This window comes from Homo sapiens, chromosome 19 (genome assembly GCF_000001405.40).
Source record: "Homo sapiens chromosome 19, GRCh38.p14 Primary Assembly".
NCBI lineage: Eukaryota > Metazoa > Chordata > Mammalia > Primates > Hominidae > Homo > Homo sapiens.
Genome location: NC_000019.10, coordinates 53,294,709 through 53,314,848, shown reverse-complemented (window position 1 = coordinate 53,314,848; position 20,140 = coordinate 53,294,709). Strand labels below are relative to the sequence as shown.

The window sequence follows — 20,140 nt, the reverse complement described above, 5'->3', positions numbered from 1 at the left end:
CATTGTAAATATGAGAAGGACATAGACACAGAGAGGTGAAGTGGCTAGTGACATTTCCACCCTACTTACAGGCAAGCACGAACTTGAACCTGCCTTGTTTTTTTGCACAGAGAGTGCATTTAGCCATTATAGTTTACTAACAAAGCTAGATAGCTGTGTTCTTTGAATAAGACACACACATACAGAGACCTTTGTTTTTATTCCTTGTCATTATATTTTAGTCTTGTAGTAGGTTACTGTATATTGTAATGATTTTATATCATGTGCAAAAATTTATTCTATTTGTCAATATCTGAATAAATAAAGGTTTAGAGATCTTAAAAAATGTAGATGAATGAATTACAGTTTAACACTATAGAAACCTGTGCCATAACAAATTGGATTTAATGACTGCAAGCACGGATCAATATTAGAATGGAAAGAGAGTAAAAAACATTGTGAGCATTTGCTTTTGTGCCAAGGACAAAGGCATAAAGGCACCTACCACAATCATGTCTTACCCAAAACAATAGGACATGAAACACCAATATGGGATAAAATAGTGTACGGTAATAACCAAATTCTTACAAATCTTAGATGACATATCTAGAGCCATTAGTAACTGAGTTAAAGAAATTATTATCCTTAGGACAATATTTGCATAATTAAATTAAAGTGTGACAAACATGAAAATTGGAAACTCTAATGGATGTGTGTTATATAGTTGATAAACAGAAATTAGAGAGTTTGGGTGATGTTAGAATCTATTTGAAGCAGAGAACACATTAGAGGACACATTTGAGTCTGACAGCTGCTCTCTTTAGCTCGTTATTATAAAGTTACCTTTTCCTTAAATTCTGCCTCCTTAACATCAAGAGGAAAGACAGTCTCACCATAATCAACAGACTATGGTGGTTTTCAGTGGAGACACAATTAATGCTCCCATTAAGCCCTGCACACTCTCAGAATTAGAGAAAACATTTTCGTTCCAGCAACTACCATTTAGATACACTGTTTGTGTAAGGAATTACATGACTCCTGTAGAGTCAGTCTACTCATTACAAGCATGGTGATATTATAGTCACGTCCTCAGCAATCCTGAAATTTTAGTCTATGATTCCTGTTGGGTAGGCGGAACAGCAGATTGATTTTAGTACCACAGTCCTTAAGAATGCAACCAGCTTTCATTATTACGACAGATTGATTTAAGAATGTTAATCCTTAAGAACGTAGTCAAGTTTCACTATGATTGGGTGAAACACCAACAATGCGGGTCAGTGTGGATTCTCCTAAATCACGTCAGGACCCCCCAGGGATTGGTGTGGGGCTAGGACCCCATTTCGGTTTGCTAGCTCAGCTCATGGCTCCGAACTATTCCTCTTTTTTCTGTGACTTGGGAACTAGACCAGTTTTCAATCTAGAACAATTTCTTATTATAATAGGATAACTTACCCTGGCTCCTGGGAAGCACCCTTCCCTACAGACCGAAAGAGACTTTCTCCCCAGCTCCATCTTGCTGCTAAGACGGTGGGCTCAGTGCGAAGGTTGCCACAGCCAGGATCGTGTGGGAGGGAAGCAGCCAGACCTTGAGATATGGTTTTGTGGTTCTGTGACCTCACCTCCCCTCAGAACTGCAATTATCTTTTCACCTGCAGTGGCAACGACAGTGCAGCCTTGGGGAGCTGAGAACGTTTCAGAACAACTTTTCTTCCCAATTGCTAATCACCAAAAGCAATGACAAGTTTCTGGCCAGCATCTCTTCAGAGACTATGAGGAGTGTTTGGGAGAGGCTCTTTCGTCTCCATTCCCTGGAGAGACACAGTCTTACATGGAGGGAGCAGGAAACGCTGAGTTCTGACCTGTGACACACTCACAGTGAGGGACGAGTGTCCCCGGATACTCTGCTTTGCTGGGAGGTTCTGCCCCAAAGCGAGCTCTTTCCTAATCTTCACGCCACTCAGCTGCAGCATCATTAGGTTATGTGCAGAGAAATGAACCCAGACAGAGGGCCTGAGAAGGATTTTCAAAGGGATACAAGTAAAAGGACAAACAGGATGCCAACGGCTCAATGCCAATTAATTTGGAATCTAGATGATGTGGATCAGGTGGCTAAAAAGTCACTTCTTGATCAATCCAGGGAAGCAAATGCTGCTTACTCGATTCAAGAGCATTGGATGGTTGCCACAGTCCTCTGCACTTGTTTTTTGCTAAGTTTTCAGCAATGATCACTGGTTGTTTTTGTAATAAAATAAGAAATATGAAATATGAGCTCAAATTAATGCTTTCTTTTTTCCTACAAAGAAGAGTCCATTTTATTCTTGTCTGGCATTCAATGCTTCTCAATTTCCACATCAGGGATTAGAGCCATAAGATGAACAACCTCTATAATACACACACACACATATATTCACATACAGATGTACACACACAGATGCAAACACATACGTACATGCACAGCAGCACAAATCAAAGGAACATCACGTACATACACAGCTAGACACTCGCCCTCACATACACATTCCACCACAGGCTCACACCCATCCACACACCCACCACAAACCCACAGTCATATTCAAACACACTCACTATGCCCTGCACTCACACAGACTCACACAGTCCCACTCACCTTTAAACACCACACTCGCAGCGTCAGCACACGTATTTGTATCTTGACACCAGGTTCCTATCTGGAGAATAGCGGCGGTCATGGCTCTATTGTGATTCAGCCTGTATACTTCTTTCCACTTTGCACCACTCATGATGATGACGTCACCATGTGCAACGTATAAAATGATGTGCACGTTGCTAATTTGGCCCAAGGCATTAAGTAGAAAAGCTGGAGAATTGGGGTCGACATTGCCTGGGTGTGTGACAGAGGGTCTGACATTGCATGAGTGTGTGACAGAGAGTGTGACATTGCACGGGTTTGTGACATAGGGTAAATCTGCGGGCTCATGGAAAGGATGCCGTTGAGACAGAGTGCCTGTAAATGCAGGGAACTGATACTGAACAGGAGACAGAGCACAGAGGCTTAAAGGCACAAGGAGGTTAATTTTCAGACAGTAGAGTACGCTGCAGGTTTTAAGAGTGCACAGGGGAAAAGCGTGCAAGGAGCTAAGCATATGGGGGATACTAGATGCTGTGGGGACAAGAGGTGCCAGGGTCATGGAATGAAAGGAGTTTATTTTGTGTCCCAAGTTCGAAAGGATGAGCTCCTTTTACTTACTGTGGTATTTCCAAAACATAGCACATGCTTTATGAAGAAAATAAAACACAGAATTCAACATTCTAGTATTCTTTCCCCTTGCTTTTCTCTCACCAGAAACCATCACAAGAGATAAAGAGTGGTAATCATTTTGCTGATACTTTGAGAATATTTTTTTCAATAATATTTTACCATAAAAAAATGCATTGGTTGGTTCTCCAATCCCTGATGTTATCGTGTGGTTATGTTAAGTTCCACGTAGGCAAAAGAGACTTTGTGGATGTAATTAACAATCAGCTGAAATGAACTCGGGAGATTATCCTGGATGATCCAGGAGTCTAACGTAATCAAGTGAGCTCTTAAAGCAGACAAAGAAGTTAGAGACACCGCAGAAGAGGAAGTCACGGCTTAGAGGGAAGAGGGGGATTTCACAGGCTGCTGCTGGCTCTGAAGAGGATAGGCAGGTAGAAATCATGAGAAGAAAAGGAGATTTGTCAGCCGCCTAAATGATCGTGGAAGCAGATTCTCCCCCGAGCTTGGAGAGAAAAGCCCAGGCAGCTGACCCCGGGATTCGGTCCTTGTGAGACCCTGAGTGGAGGACACAGCCAAGCACTGTGGGCTTCTGACCTATGGGGAGAAAATAAATGGGTGCTGTTGTAAGGCGCTGACGTTGTGTAATGGTGGAGTCATGGGAAACGGATATGTACAGGATCCAATTTAATGATAAAATGTTTAAACAGTTAAATAAAGTGAGCTATAAATACCCCAGCAAAGATACAAGGCTGATCCCAGGCATAACGATTGTTACCAGTTTGAGGTGTATCCTCCTTTATATATTGATATCTCTGTATAAATAAATACATCTCTCTATATAGATACATGTACAAAGATCTTATATATAGACAGATATAGATCTATATCTTCATATCTATATCTAAATGTAGAGATACAGAGACATAGATCTATAGAGATAGACACAGATACAAATATAGACAAATCTCTACGTAGACACACGTATATGTTTGCATAGATGGACATATACATAGGTCTATTTGTATATACACATACACATATACATGATTAAGGCATTTTGTCTTCCTTCAAAATTCATATAAATGTGTTCATGTTGGAGTCATTGTTCGTGTTGCTTCACCCAGTCAGTGATGAGTGTGGAAGATGTTTCTATACCTCCTTCTCGGAAACACTGCATCCTATTTCCTGGTGCGTATGAATGAAGCATGTTACTGAATCGCTCCTGTTTACCCCTGTACAGAGTCGCATGTGCTTGTCTGTCTCCTGCTGTGAAACGCTGCCGGGAGTGTAGGTGGCTGAACACACTGATGTGCGAACATGCAGATTATTGGGTGGTTCTGACACGTGTACTGCGGCTCCACCGTGATTGCATGTTGTTTCTTTCTTTCTTTTCTTTCTTTTTTTTTTTTTAGACGGAGTCTTGCTCTGTCGCTCAGGCTGGAGTGCAGTGGCACAATCTCGGCTCACTGCAACCTCCGCCTCTAGGGTTCAAGTGATTCATCAGCCTCAGCCTCCTGAGTAGCAGGGACTACAGGCGCCCACCACCATGCCCAGCTAATTTTTGTGTGTATGTTTTTTTGTTTGTTTTTGTTTTTGGGACAGAGTCTCGCTCTGTCGCCCAGGCTGGAGTACAATGGGGCGACCTCTGCTCACTGCAACTTCCGCCTCCTGGGTTCAAGCGATTCTTCTGCCTCAGCCTCCTGAGTAGCTGGGATTACAGGTGCGCACCACCACGCCTGGCTAATTTTTGTATTTTTTAGTAGAGGCGGGGTTTCACCATGTTGGTCATGCTGGTCTTGAATTCCTGACCTCCTGATCCGCCTGCCTTGGCCTCCCAAAGTGTTGGGATTACGGGCGAGAGCCACCGCAGCCGGTCATTTTTGTGTTTTTAGTAGACATGGGGTTTCACCATGTTGGCCAGGCTGGCCTCGAACTCCTGACCTCGTGATCCGCCCACTCCGGCCTCCCGAACTGCTGGGATTACAGGCGTGAGCCATCGTGCCCGGCCGAATGCACGTTACTTCTATGGTTGGATAATTGCTAAATTGCCTTCGCCAACGGCTGTAAAACCTAAATATCCCAACCAATGTGTGGCGCGGTTCTCCCACCTTTCTTTTTTTGATCTCTTTGCTCTTTCAGCGCATCAACTCGGACATTGCGGGACGTAAGGAATCTGGGAAACTCAGGTTGCAGGGGCGGGGATGAGAGGGACAGCTAACAGGATGAGCTCTGTCTTTAACGGCGCTTCTCGCGCACACCCGCACGTGGGTGCCAGACACAGGCCCAGACCTGCAGCCCTGGAGACCAGCCGTTAGGGCAACGCTTCCCACAGCGCCTGCACCGCACGAGGTCCCGCCCCAAACCCGCCCTGTGTATCTGTGTCCTACATGCATATGCAAAAATAAATGCTGTTCTAGAAATGCGGATATCGCTGAAAGCACACTCACTCATTTTCCAGTGTGCTTCTCCAGCCCCAGGAGCTGAAGTGCTGAGGAAATATTCAATGCATGACTTTGGAGTCAAGAAATTAAAAAAAATAATGACGGTTTCAAACTGGAGTGAAAGAGACAAAAATTTTTAACATTTATTGCATACTGGATATCATTCTAAATGCGTTTCACATATGAATGCATAAAATCACAAAAGATTATCTACATCTATCTTTGCTTTTCAAGTGAGCCCGCCACCTGGAATAAAACTTGTAAGTATTTTTTAAACTCTCAGGTATGAACATCAGAGGTAAAGAAAGGGTTTTCCATTTCTAAGAATGTGCTGGTGTTGAGTTCGCAGCCGTGGCTGCACTGCCTCCAGCTCTGGGAGTTCCAGCCCAAGGAGAAGAGGGGTAAACAGGGCGTCCAACCAGGGTCATGCACCGCCCACCCGCAGGAAATCGACCGGGTGCAAATCCACGCTGGGAAGCAGCCAGGAAGCCGCCGCTACAAACGCCGGGCAGGAGCGCCCTCTCCCGGAGCGAGAAGGAACCTCCTGGTCCCCGCGGGACTCCGCTCTCGGTGAAATGGGACTTGGTTAGAAATCCACCGAACTCCTCATTGGCGGCGCCTGGTGCAAGAAGTTGCTTAGGACATCTAAGCAGACCCGCGCTTCCAGAGCAGGGCTGTCGGTGCTCTGCAGGGGGTAAGTGCAGAGGATCTAAGTGGGGCTTTTGAAGTCACCGACCCCGTGCAGTCCACGCCACGTGGCTCAGTACTGCCGGGAGACGCCTCCAGAGGGCCCAGGCTGGGGAGCGCGCCTAGGAACCCACCGTGTTGTGCCCCATGGCACTGCAGGATGGCTATCGTTACCAATAACGCAGGGTTTCCAGTAGCTAGAGGGAGGAGAGGGAAAGTCCCCAACACAGAGACATGACGCAGGCTTGAGATGATGGACATGTTAATCACCCTAACCTAATCACCACGCATTAAACCTATCCTAAGGACGCCACGGACCCGTGAGTATGCATAAGAACTATTTGTCAATTAAAAGTAAATTAAATATACTTAATAAGAGACGCCTTAAAATCCTTTTTGAATCTATGAAATATTTGCAATAAAAAACAATCCACTGTAATTGGAAACATCTTTGTTTAAAAAAATACTCTTTTTCCCGTAATTGATAGTGCTAGACATGAGATTTTATTTTTGCGTAGGGTCACACAGTATGTAGTGTATGATTGGGGGTGAAAGAATTGGGTGCAGAAATCAGCTACTGGCCATTTTTCCATTTTCATTTGTGTGTGAATTTAAAAAACAAATTTAATTGATAAATAATAATTGTATATATTTATGGGGTGTATTGCACTAATTTGATAGATGTATATGCTGTGGAAATTTTAAGTCAATCAAATTAATATCTCAATTCCTGACATACTTTTTTGGTGAGGACAATTGAAATTCACTCTCTTTCTAATTTTGCATGTTAATAATATACCTTATTGTTAACCATAGTCACAATGCTATACCGTATCTCAAATAATTATTCCTCCCGTCTAACTGAATCATTGTATGTGGATTTTTAGTATAAATGTGGGGGAGGTAAATTATTAATGCAAATAAAAATGTGTCAGGAAACAAGTTTCAGCAGTTCTGCTTCATGTGGGTGAGAAACCCACCCGAATGGGATAGAGGGACCCCACATCCTGATATCGCTGTGAGAATTCTTGGGACCACTCCTGTATCAGCCTGTTCTTGCACTGCTATAAAGAAATACCGGAGGCTGGGTCATTTATAAAGAAAAGAGGATTAACTGGCTCACAGTTCGGCAGGCTGCACAGGAAGCATGGCAGCTTTTGCTTCTGAGAGGCCTCAGGAAGCTTTTACTCATGGTGGAAGGCAAAGAGGGATTAGACATTTCACATGGCAAAAGCAGGGACAAGAGAGTGAGGAGGCAGCTGCTGGACACCGTTAAATGACCAGATCTCAGGAGAACTCACTCACTCTGGAAAGGACACAACCACAGGGGAGGAGGCTAAACCATTCATGAGAAAACCGCCGCCACGATCCAATCATCTCCCACCAGGCCCCAGGTCTAACACTGGGGATGACAGTTCAACAGGAGATTAGGGGACACACATCCAAACTATATCAACTCCCACGTCCTGACTCAGCCCCCTCATCTAGCAGAGAGGTGAGTCTACACTCCACCCTCAATAACCAGGTGCTATCTAGACCTCAGGATCTCTTAATCCCACTCAGTTGCTGAGCTCCTGTCCACACCCTGGAGGCCTCCTTGCCTTCCTGTTCCCGTCAGGGATAAAAAGCAAGAGCCACTGACTTTCCAGGAGCTGTCGCTGAAACTGAGCTGTTGGCTTGTTACAGTTCTCCCCGTCTGAGACTTTGGGTGACCCATCCCCTACGGCCATACAGCACAACCTCATCTATTCCCCCGACACATAGTGAACCAGGCTGTTCTTAGACCACTTATCTTTGGCCCCACAAAGGCCAGAATCTCCAGTACACATTGCCACTGAGCTTCCTGCCATGGGGAGACCGAGCTGCCCACCTCGGTGCAAAACGCAGAATGAGGCAGCCAGGCTGTTGATGTATGCCTCAATATTTGAAACATGCAGAAAGTAGTTTGTGTTGTTCAAACCATATGCTTCTATGTTAAACTTTAAAATTTTATGAGATGAGCATACAGCAAATTATTTGTTTTAGATGTATACATCTGTGATAAAACAAAAGTGCTAGGAACAGGATCACCAAATAAATCAAGAGAGGGAGAGGTAATTAGATCATATCGCGATTAGGTTAGCCAGGGGGAGTGGCTGCGGGGCTCTGGAGCAGTATAAATGCCAGCAGAAGGGACCTTCCCCTCAGTGAGCTTTGTTTCCTTCACTGTGGAAGCCCCAGCGTAAGGAGTGAAGTTTGCCCTGGGTCCACTTACCTGAGTTGCTGCTGGTAGGCAAGAAGAACAGGTTAGTCCATTACTATTTCGGGCGTTCATTTATCCCAATGGGAGAAATAGAATAGTGGGAAAACTCTTTAGCGTGCGGTTTTAGATGTTGAGGTAAAGAATACTTAATTGTTTAACAGTATTTCTTTTTTCCTTTTGAGACAGAGTCTCGCTCTGTCACCCAGGCTGGAGTGCAGTGGCACAATCTCGGCTCACTGCAACCTCTGCCTTCCCGGTTCAAGTGATTCTCACGCCTCAGCCTCCGGAGTGGCTGGGATTACAGGCGTGAGCCACTGCGCCCAGCCATTTAACAGTATTTCTTAGGACATAGCCAGATTCAAAAAATATTTCAGAAATCCTAATGATTACATAAAGGTCAACATTTGCTAAGAATGATCACCCAGCACCCTGAATTGTGTGGGTGCTGGATGATCAGTTATGGAGACCTGGTGCCTTTGACGAAGAAGCTATTAGATAAGAGATTTCTTCACTTATCTTTTATTCCAGTATACTCATTGACCTTTGCTAGGAGCTAGTATAAATTCAGGGCCCTGAGCCTCTACCCAAAGATTAAGGCAAGCAAGACTTAAGCTGTGAGTGCCTAGTCTATAATGATGGTGTAAAGAATGATCCTACTTAAATATGTAGTTAAAAATGCTTCTTCACTTCTCAATTTTGATTTTGAAAAGGAACGCGCACTTTATTCTAGATTTCTCAAGTGCGTTTGCTCCAGATAGCATTCCTTGATCATTTTTTTTCTATTTTCATGGCATTATTGCCTTTTCTTTTCCCTGATATGATCTATTAAGATAAATTTTATTATCTTTCTGTGGTAACCCATGGTAATGTATCCTACTACTGCTCTCAAAGAAAGAGTACGTTTTCCTGCTGTATTCTATTTATTTTTTCATTAGCTCCAATTTATTGTTTGATTTACCATTTCCATCTTTTTATTTCTTTTGCAATCTTTCGTTGTTCTGTCTGTAAGCTGTCTCCATAGGCCTGAGTGCTTCCCCCAGATTTTATCTTTTTTCAATCATGTTGTTGTGGAAAAAAAAGAGGCCCGATCCAGACCCTGAGGGAGGGTTCTTGGATCTCATGCAGGAAGGAATTCCAGGCAAATTGCAGAGAGCAGTGTGAAGAGAGTTTATTGACAGCTACTATATTACAGAGTACGGTGACCTCAGAACGCAACCAGAAGAATGCACTGTCTTTAAGTTTTTCTGATATAGGGGTTTTGTCCACGTGAAGATTCAACTAAGCTGTGTCTACATGTGGTGGACTGACAGCATGACAATGTTTAGTATTCTGTTGATTTAAAGAAAACTCTCCTTGACATTCTAGTGTGTAGCTCAGGAAGCATAGCTATCATTATCTTGAAGGTATCTATTGCTTTGGATATGGGGCATCTGGACATTTTGCTTTCATAGGAGTCTGTCCATCCAGGCATTGCTAAGCTGCTTCCTCAGCCACAAACGTCTTAGGACCAGGGTGGTGACTGGCCAGGACTGTGCCTCACTAGTTTTCAGATGGAGTTGATTTCTAAATGGTGTCGCCCTCACTCTCCTATGCTCCTGTTTCCCTAGCACTGTGGTCATTTAGCCAAAGACATTTCCCCTGAACCCACATTTTGCACTGCTCATCAGTTTGGACATAAAAGTGCTTTATTTTGTATTTTCTTAGCACTTGATGGTTTCCCTTGAATATCTTGTTTGATCTCAAGGAGTCTGATTTCAGAAAGTTCAAGGAATGTGCTTCATAGTTTAAAACGTCCTTAATATTAGAAAGAACTTATAAAATGTAGGTATATCTAGTTTTGACAAGGAGGGTGTACAGATGATTAAAATATTCAGTTTTCTAATATATTGAATTTTCTTTGAGGCCAATTCCACGATCAATTTTTCCGGATGTTTGATGGTATACTATGAGAGTCTCCAGAGGAGGGACCTGCATTGCATACATATCAAACACGCTAAGTCCAGTGAACAATTCTTTTAATGGATCACCTGCTTTTCTCATTCACATTGGTGTCATGTCACTGGCAGAGGAAGGATGTGTCCCTGTAGTTTGAATGACAGGATGTGTGAGTTTACTCCTAGGGACACGGTGGGCACAGCAGAGAGATGGGGCTGACTGCATCCTGTGCCTGGGAGAGTCCAGGGATAGGAAGGAATCAGCGTCTCATTTTCTACCCTCCACAGGGAAAGAGAATCCCTCAGGCAGGACCAGCAGTGATGGACCCCAACACTCTCTCCATGGAACAGGGGAAGCAGTTCTTAAAGCAGTGCGGGATCCCACAAAGAGATGTGAGTACGGGAGCTGCGGGGTCACCTGGGAGGCAGGTGGAATGGGTGGAGTCCAAGCCTGGGGGAAGGCTGAAGCAGGCTCCCCGTCCATGACCGGCTCATATTCAGAGTTTCACACCCTCCATACACGGGCACTGACCCATTAAAATCGATACGTAATTCCTCAAAGGGACATGGGAAAATGCCACTGCCATGGCCCCTTAGTTCCCACCTGGGAACAGCAGCACTTCCCAATACCCTGGGCTGTCACTCTTGGTGCCATTTGAAGGTCATCAGCCAACTCCTCACCAGCTCTGGAGTAAAGAACTGTGAGATTGCCTTTGCATCCTCATAGCTTAGCTCCCGCACATGAGTGAGAACATAAGGTGTTTGGTTTTGCATTCGTGACTTATTCACAGAGAATAATAGTCCCCAATCCCATCCAGGTTGCTGCGAAGGCCATTAATTTCTTCCTTTTATGGCTGAGTAGTATTCCATCAGATAGATAGATAGATAGATAGATAGATAGATAGATAGATAGATAGATAGATAGATAGATAGATACACACACACCATAGTCCCTTTATCCACTCATTGATTAATGGGCATTTGGGCTGGTTCCATATTTTTGCAATTGCGAATTGTGCTGCTGTAAACATATGTGTGCAAGTATCTTTTTCACATAACGACTTCTTTAAAAAAAAAGAAAAAAAAAACAATGAAATGTGAGCCTGCCCAGCATTCCCTTTAAAATCTCAGGAAGATGGGAGTTCCTCCTCTCCTCTGCCAAGGCTTCCTCCTGCCTGCAGAACTCAGGTTGCCTCTCCATTCTCCTTTCTCTGCATTAGATTGACTTGATGACAGAGAAATGGGTTGTTCTCGCCTCTGTGGAGGTTCTTCTGCGATTTCCTCTGAAGCCAGGAGAGGATCCGACCGCCCGCTGTGTCTCGAATAAAAAATGCCAGGCTTCAGTGGACCAGCCACCCACAATTTCACAGAGACCTTGATACCAAGAGGAGAGGTAAGATAAGTATTAGGGAGTAAGGTAGGGACGGCATGGGAGACTCTGAAGCACAGTGTGGGCTCGAGGTTTCTGCTGAACACGCCTGGAGGCTTCCGTCTTGCGTGTCCCCCCATGACACGGCCAGTGATGTGTGCGAAGCCTGGCGTGAACACGCACATATGTGTCAGCGTCGCAGGATCCTCAGAGGGCTGGTCCTCACTTGGCTTTGTGCCTGCCTCTGTGTGAAGAGTGGCGTGTGGTCACAGGGGTCTCACGTGAAACGTCACGAGTGTCCATAGGTTGAATATGAAAACTTTGCAAAGCTTTGAGCTTCTGGTTGGTTTTCTGAGTGAGAAGCTATTCTATGAAAATAGTTGGTTTTCTGGAACTTGCTGGAAAAAAATCAGTAGTTGTTGGCTGTTCATGTCTTGGCTTTGATAAATATTGTCAGAGGGTTTCAGCTCTGAGGCACTGACTGCACACAAACCGAGAGCCCAGAAAACTTTTATGCAAGGCTGCAAATCTCACTTCGCCCTCTAGAAATCAAGCAGCCTTTGGTTTATAAAATCTGTGTCCTGTTCTGGGAGTAGGTCAGGATGGGAGAGAGTCACAAAATAGCACAACTGGGACCTGGGTTCAGAGAGGACCAAGTTACAGTGGGCGTGACTCAGTGGCCAGTGCATCCCTCCATCCCTACTTGGGTAGACAGGGGTAGGAGGGACTTTCGTCTGGTGTCTGTGTAATGTTTTCTCTTTTTCTTATGACTAGGAAATCCAACAACCACTTAATGAAGAAGAATGATCAGAAGTTCAAGGACCTGCCACAGATGGCCGGTCATCCCATCCATCATCAGGCTCAGGGGCCCCCCGGAGCCAAGAACCCACAGGAGCAGCAGAGGAGACCCATGGGGCAGACGACTCTCCCAGCAGAGCAGGAGGAATCCAGGGTCAGTGGGGGCTTGAAAATGTTGGTAACCTATGGACACCAGAGAGTGGGCTTGAACATGGGACTCGTGATTATGACTTAAGAGTTCCCACTGGTCTCAGTCTGACCACATCGGTCAGCCTCCTGTCTTGGCAGATTGGCCCATTCGGAGTCTCTGAGGAGCAGCCTCATTCTCTGTCCAGTGTCATGTCCAGCCTGGTGTTTGCCGAGTCCTCAACACCGGTTCATTATCTTCACTCTCAGACACAAGCGTCCTTCCTCCTGGGATCCCTGTTAAACGGGCTCTGGGGAGGACGATAATATCTTGAATTTCCTGGCAACCAACAGCCCATGGGCGTATGTCCCCCTCCTAAAATAATCCATCTCCAAAACCCAGGCCTTGTGTGAACCTTGCAGGTGCCTGTGATTGCTGTTGACTCACTGCTCTGTGTCCTCCTCCACCTGCAGGTGAAATGCAAGAACTGCGGGGCCTTTGGGCACTCAGCCAGGAACAAGACCTGCCCCATTAAGAGGTGGAGTGGGGCCCTTCCTCTGCAGGTCCTGGGCTCACACAAGGAGAAGGAGAACCTGAAACCAGCAAAGGCCCAGCTACCCTTTACGACTCCAGGGCCCTTTACGACGAATGACAGAGAAAAGGAGCGAAGTCCAAGGTAAGGATTTTGCAGGGTCAAGGAAGATCCGTGAGGTCGGCGCCTCAGGAGCTGGTGTCTCCCCTAGTCTTTCTGTGCAGCCTTCTCTAAGCACACAAGGAAAGCTCCAAATGGAGGTGGACGGAGGCCCCTGCCTTCCAGGGTCCGCACTCCGAGCTTATTCCAGCGCTGAGAGTCTCTAGAGGGCAGGGGCTGTGGGAGACCTGGGGATGTTACCCGAGGCAGGCAGAGCAGTTCCAGGGCCTGAATGAACTTAGAGAACCTGGGGCCATGGTGGGGGTGGGGGGCGGAGCTTCCTGGAAGTGGGGCTGCTTCTGAGATGAGAGAAGGGGCTGTCTTGGCAGAGTTCACAGAGGCCTGAACGCCTCCCTCACCCAAAGCAAGGGCTAGGGCTGGGTTCCGGGAGGGTGCTTGGTTCCCAGTCACTGGTGTGGACAAGGAGGGTCAGGCAGGTCCAGACAGTGAACGTGATTTCTTCTGCAGTCCCCAGCAGCAGCAGAACAGAGCTCCGAAGCAGACATTTCCCAGAACTCCCCAAGAGAAAACGCAGGAAGCCTGGAAGGAGCCAGCGGAAGCCTGTTCATTCCTGAGGGTGAGTCTCCCCCTGCCCCTGCTCTGTTTCTCCTCTAGGTCCCCTGATTCCTTCACTTCTGTGCCCTTCATGGGTGGGGGTCATGTTAAGACCTAGGCTGCCCTGCAGGAGAACTACGCTACCTGAGGACTTTGCATACTCCAGTTTCCAGCTTCTTTGTTAAAACATTGGTTTCTGTACCTTTATTTGCAAGTTGGCCAGCAAATGCTGCTGGGCGCATTTCAGTGCCCGTGGGGAGTGACTGATCAGATGCCTTCGGGATACTGGCTGCAGATAAGGCGTCTCCTTCATTTTTATGCATGATCTTACAACTGCTTTCAAAAGGAGCTGTGACATTTCCAGTCTCCACGTTGTTTGGGGAATTGATATTCCCTTGATATTAACAATAGAGAACATAAAGACGGTTTTAATTTTCATATGTGATAGTCGCAGCAAACAGAATGGTTGGCTATCTTTCCCCAACACTATTCCTGAAGTGACAATTCTGCATATATTCAGTGACCATGTGTACATCCTTTTCTGTGACGTTTAATTTCCTACGTCCTGTCTCTTTTGGAGGGTCTTCCCTATATTTGATCCTGATTTAGACGCAGTCCCAGTGCCTGTTATTCTCTGTTTCTCATGTCAGCCTGTCCATTTTCCTCTGTCCTAGCTTGCTTCTCATCTTCACACAGTGTCTGTTGTGATGTGGTTTTGCATGTGAGTTCCCTGCTTCAGAGTTTGGAAATTCTACTGCTGAGCTGTCTCATGTGGGATGTTTTCTCCCGTAGCATCCTACCATGCCACTGCCTGTCCACACCACCAAGAAGAGATCTGTCCTGGGCCCTGTGTCCACAGGTCCACCGCCTGTCAACAAACCCGAGATGAGATTACTCTGCCCTTCGGGTCACAACGATTGACCTCAACTGAGCACCTGTGGACCCACCAAGGGACATGGCGGGGACGTTACTGCCTCCCTGCTCCCTGTTCTGAAGAGCTCCCACCAGACCCCCACTCTCAGTGCCAGGCTGCCAGCCAACAGGCCTGACATGTCCTCCCATGGTGCTCTCCAGCCTGCCATGCAGGCGCTTGCCCTGGGTCCTGGCCTTAAATCCCAGGCAGAAATCAAACATCCCGTTGCAGATGCAAAGCCCAGACCACAGCAAGTCAGAAAACAGTGTGGCCAGGACTCCAGAACCCAGGCACCAGACAAGGAGCCTGGCCCCGTCCCCACCCAGACTTTCCAGAACCCCGCAAAGAAAGCAAGATTCAGCTCCTTCCAGACCCCTGCACTGAGAACTCAGCTCCCGGATGTGGGCGCTGTGCAGACACTCCAGCCTCCCCGCACTGCAACTGGACTTGGATCCAAACAGGCACCCGAGGCGACTGCACAGACAGCAGCCACCAAGACAGCAACCCTGCAGCCCAGAGTCAACCTCCAGCCCGCACCCAGCTCACCTTTCCTGGGCCCAGCCCAGGGCTGCCCCGTCCTCCAGCCTGGACCACCCATTCATGTTCCAGGGAGGCCCGGCAGTGTCACCTTCATGAGAGGGGACAAGGGACAGAAGAGCCCCAGGTTCAGAACGCCTCCCACATCCCGTCCTCCTGAAAACTCTGCTTCTGCTCAGAGCCCTCGCTTCTCAAGGCAGCCTGAGGGGCGGGGTCCCCAGGTCTCAACGAGTGTCCTCTATGAGGACCTTCTTGTCACTTCCTCCTCTGAGGACAGTGACAGTGACTGAGGCCCCCAAGGCAAGAAGACCCAGCTTCAAGCCCATGCGACTTGGAAGTGGCTGAAAGGCTGAGAAGGGGAGAGGCAGGAAGCAGCCCTGTGCGGGGTCAGCCCCTCCCTGGCAGCGGTGTCTGTTCAAACGTGGACCCCAGATACTATCGGGGATCAACGAACCTGCCTATTTACATTGTGTAAATTTAACCTGTATTAAAATGGGGCTGTTGAAAGTGTCCTATAGATTTCTTTTTCAATTACATACAATTATATGAGAAACTGAGTCAACATAAGCAAACAATGCTCCACTAGTAAAAGCTCTGAAACTCATCTAGGGAGGGAGCAAACCACTGAAATTTGAGTAATTCTGGGCAAAGGGCCCTTTGATGGTAGTGGAAAACGTCAGTGTCTCCTGACTCAAGAATATTTGACTGTGAAGGAGAGTTGTAGTGAGAAACGCTTAGCCTTGGAAAATGGGAAATTTTTTTTTCTTGGAAGAATGTGTTTTTTTTAAATCATTGAATTCAAACATTTAAGAAACTGTTCTTTTTTATATGGTATACATTTTTCCAGGACATCAAACAAGGGAAATACTCCATTTATTTTATGAAGCTACCTAGACTCTGATTTCCACTGTGGTAGAGAGGGCATCTCAGCTAGCGCATGTGTAAAGTTGAGGTACCAATATTCTCAGTGTTGGAGTTATTCAGTGGATTCAATAAGTTATGCAAAGCACGTCATGAATGGCACATGGTAAAATATATCTTACTATTATTATTATCATACCACAAGTAAACAATAGAGTAAATTCAAGTTTGTGAATGAATTTCATTTGTAATGATGTACTCTATTAGCCTTGGAACTTTTGTTATTAAAAGTCATTGTAAAATTCTGCTTGGTTAATTTCTTTCCATATGAATAAAATTCTCTGAACTATGACACGTTTTACAGGTGTTTTGAGTTTTCCTTTTCACCTCAGGCCAATTTCTTTACATTTCAATCATCGTGTTTCATTTACTTGAGCAAAGAGGACTGGGTGCCCAGAGTGTCACCTGCAGACCCGTAGCTTCTGAGAAACACAGACCCTCAGGCACAGCCCCACCCCCACCTGCTCAATCAGTAGCTGCAGCTTATATAGCAACCCCAGGTGTTTCACATGTGGGTTAAAGTGGGAGAAGCACAAACATAGACTGACTCTCAACTTGGTTGCACGTTGGAATCTCCTGGTGAGCTTCCCCCGCTGGCTGGGTCCCACCCTTGGAGAGAGTCATGTTCTAAGTCCCGTGTGAGGCTGGATATAGGGATGGGTGGACCCTTTGAGGTTAAGTCAAACATGGGTCAAGGTTAGGAAACACTGGAGGGAGAGGGCGAAGACAATGCTTCCCTAACCTGCCTCCTCCCGTTTTCACCTTGGGAGGAAACTCTCCTGAATCCAGAAAGATCAGAAGGCTCTGAGGGTGGGATTTCAGTCTCAGGAGATCGTCCCTGTCTCTCTAGGACCTGGTCCCTAAAAAGCAGTGGATGGAAGTCTCCAGGCTGCCTCTTGGATGGGGGCGGAAGCCATGAAATATAAAGAGTGATCTGGAAGCTCAGGTTGAACTCCTCCAGCGTGCTTTAGTAAGGTAATTTTTAAATATACGTTACGTGAGAGCCATCTCTTCAACTCCGGCCACCCAATTTGCTGTACAAACAGTTTCCCTGATAGAGAAATTACACTCTAGCAGGCTGCACCACAGGATCCCAGGCAGCCTGTGGGAAATGCGCGGGTGTAGATGGGGTGAGCATGGGGCCTGCCAGGGTAGAGGGAGGTTTCATCTTTTGTTTCTTCACCCTAAGTTCTGCGAAGCTTCCTTCTTCTGCTTGTACGTTCAGCAACCAGGGAGGGCCAGATACGGAGCCTTTCTTTTTCTGCCCACGCGTGCACCCATGACCCATGCTTATCCCCGGGGACTTTCAGCCTCCCCCGCACCTAGCCCACCCTCCCTGCAATGCACCACAGAGGCCAGAATGGAAACAGGGGCATGCATATCCAGCAGAGCTGTAGAAGTTTGAGTTCCCCACTTACAACAAATTCCAAGAATATTTAGTTTCTTCTTTAATGTTGACGAAGTCAGGATAGGGACAGAGGAAGAAACTGGGGTGCAGAGCAGGAGAGTGTCTGCGCTGGTAAGGAAGGCAGCAGCAAAGCTCGACCCTCCCAGTGCCACCTGCCTGCTGGCTGCTTAAGGCTCAAATACGGAAGCTAGAATGCTTTCAAGTCACCCTTGAATCTTCACTGTTCTGCCAGGAAAAGAATGAATAGTAAGCAAAGCACATTCAGTTGCTTGTTTAAATCCTTCTTCCCTTACATGAGCTTCACTAGCATGGAAGAGCAGGGAGGCTTCCTACTCCTCCTTGTTTCCAGCTTGATGAACACATGTACTCCATGACCACGTGCCTTCTCTTATCCCTCAACCCGTCCTTTCCTTTTCCAGAAAATCATTTTTCTCTCAGCATCCCACCATCATCAAGACTGTCATGAAATATGTAGGGCCTTCAAGCAGGAGGCAGAATCTTTGTTACATGGTCATGTCTGTCTTTTACCCCCAATGATGACAGTGTCAACATCTCTTAGAATGATTTCTTATACAACAATCCTTGAAAGGGTGCTTTGGAACAGGAGTGGACAAATGATGTCAAAAACATGAGGGCTACTCAAGGAAAATGACTCAAAAAGGTACACTCGGGCCGGGCGCGGTGGCTCACGCCTGTAATCCCAGCACTTTGGGAGGCCAAGGCAGGCAGATCACAGAACAGGCAGGACTATTACTTTCACTGGAAAGCTAAGGAACACGTAGATGGATAAAGCTACTGATTTGTCAAAATCCAAAATTTTAGAGCAAAGAGGGGGCTTGACCTTGGCAGGGTTGGTAAAGAGTGGTGGAGTTAAACTCTATGCAAGGGAGAATTTAACTGTCTTCTTCAAGTAATGCAGATGTATATAGAGTCATTTTAAGTCCTGTCCTCTTATTGTAGATTGGTGTTATTTTATTTTGTAACTTTGTAACAAGTTTACATTCATGGATAAAGATTTATAGAATATGCCAATACAAACTTCAAATAAAATTGAGATATCTTAACATAACATAGACGCAGAATGACCTTATAATTCTCTAGGAACTGCTCCATGACAAATCATATTTAAAGAATGCACAATTGCCTCTATCTTGAGATGGCAGCAGACATAAGATTTTGCTTTTATGCCAGAAATAAATTGGAACCTATCACAGAAATCACTGAACACTATGTCTTGCTCCAAACTATGGGAAATGAAACACCAATATGTGATAAAATCATACAAGGTAGAAACCTAATGTTAGTAATTTCAAATTATATACTTATCTCTATATTCATAATTGATACAAGTAAAAGTAATAGCAATAAAGCATGATTTCTGAAACATGTTAAGTGGAAGCCCCTTGTACAAATGGAATCTTTAACGTGTTAAATTTTGTGTATTTTACAAATCAAAATTGTACTGTGGAAATTAAAAGTTCCTCTTCAAAACTTCCCTTTTTGTTAATAATATTAAGTTCTAAGAATGATAGTCCCACTTAAAAGCTTCTTTCAAGTTTCCTTCATGTTTCATACTATTAACAAATCTTTTACCCTACTAATAACTCTTTGTTGTGCCCCGGGCAGTTGGTAAACACAGTAAAGAAATAAGTAATCCTATATCCCTGTACTGTAAACCAAGAGGCCTAACCCATATGTTTCCTGGCCTGTCCGGACAGGCCTAGACATGCCCAGGCATGTCCCAGCTTGCAGCCCAGGCTTCTTTCCTTATTTGGAAATGTTATTGTTTTCCTAGTTTCCTACAACCAACCCCATCCCTTTCTTTGTTCCCCATTGTGCCTTTACCTATTTAGTAAAGTTTTAAGTTTTTAGCCAATCGGTATCAGTCTAGATTGTGCAGTCCAGCTCCAGCCAACGGAGATAGGACGCAGCAGTAGGGGCCCAATGCGTTAGGAATAAGAATCCCTGCTTTCCTTTGTTTGGGGTGCTCTCATGGCAATCAGGCTTATAGGCAGCACCCTTCTGCAGAAGTAAAATTGCCTTGCTGAGAAATCTTTTGTTCAAGTACTCATTTTCTTTGCGACTCCCAGCTTTCATTTCCAGCAGTACACTGTGGGATTCATATGAGACTATGCTTAAACCAGAGAATACATCATTAGAAACTTTTGTGCCCAAGGGCTGCTCTCTGAAACCCAGTTTGTATGTTACCACTTCCTTAAATGCTGATTCTTTAACTAGAAGATGGAAAACAATCTGTCAGTATGAAGAGACTATGGATGTTTTCAGGAGGAGACAATCAG

The 20,140-nt window shown here is 45.7% G+C and overlaps 1 long non-coding RNA gene and 1 pseudogene across 1 annotated transcript, besides 1 other annotated feature; both read left to right on the top strand.

Annotated features, from left to right (window-relative positions):
* The first annotated feature begins 6,270 nt into the window (after window positions 1-6,270).
* Window positions 6,271-12,826, top strand: LOC107987270 (uncharacterized). The gene is made up of 4 exons (XR_001753995.1): window positions 6,271-6,352; window positions 10,810-10,914; window positions 11,742-11,914; window positions 12,665-12,826. It is a non-coding gene; the product is annotated as an uncharacterized LOC107987270 (long non-coding RNA).
* On the top strand, window positions 12,723-15,801 carry FAM90A28P (family with sequence similarity 90 member A28, pseudogene; annotated as a pseudogene).
* Window positions 18,941-20,140: an enhancer, noted in NCBI's record as "MED14-independent group 3 enhancer chr19:53797962-53799161 (GRCh37/hg19 assembly coordinates)". NCBI's record gives its function as "activates an origin of replication core promoter dependent on BRD2, BRD4, P300/CBP and CDK7 cofactors, and independent of MED14, by STARR-seq in HCT116 cells {active_cell/tissue: HCT116}" and the evidence as "EXISTENCE:reporter gene assay evidence [ECO:0000049][PMID:35650434]".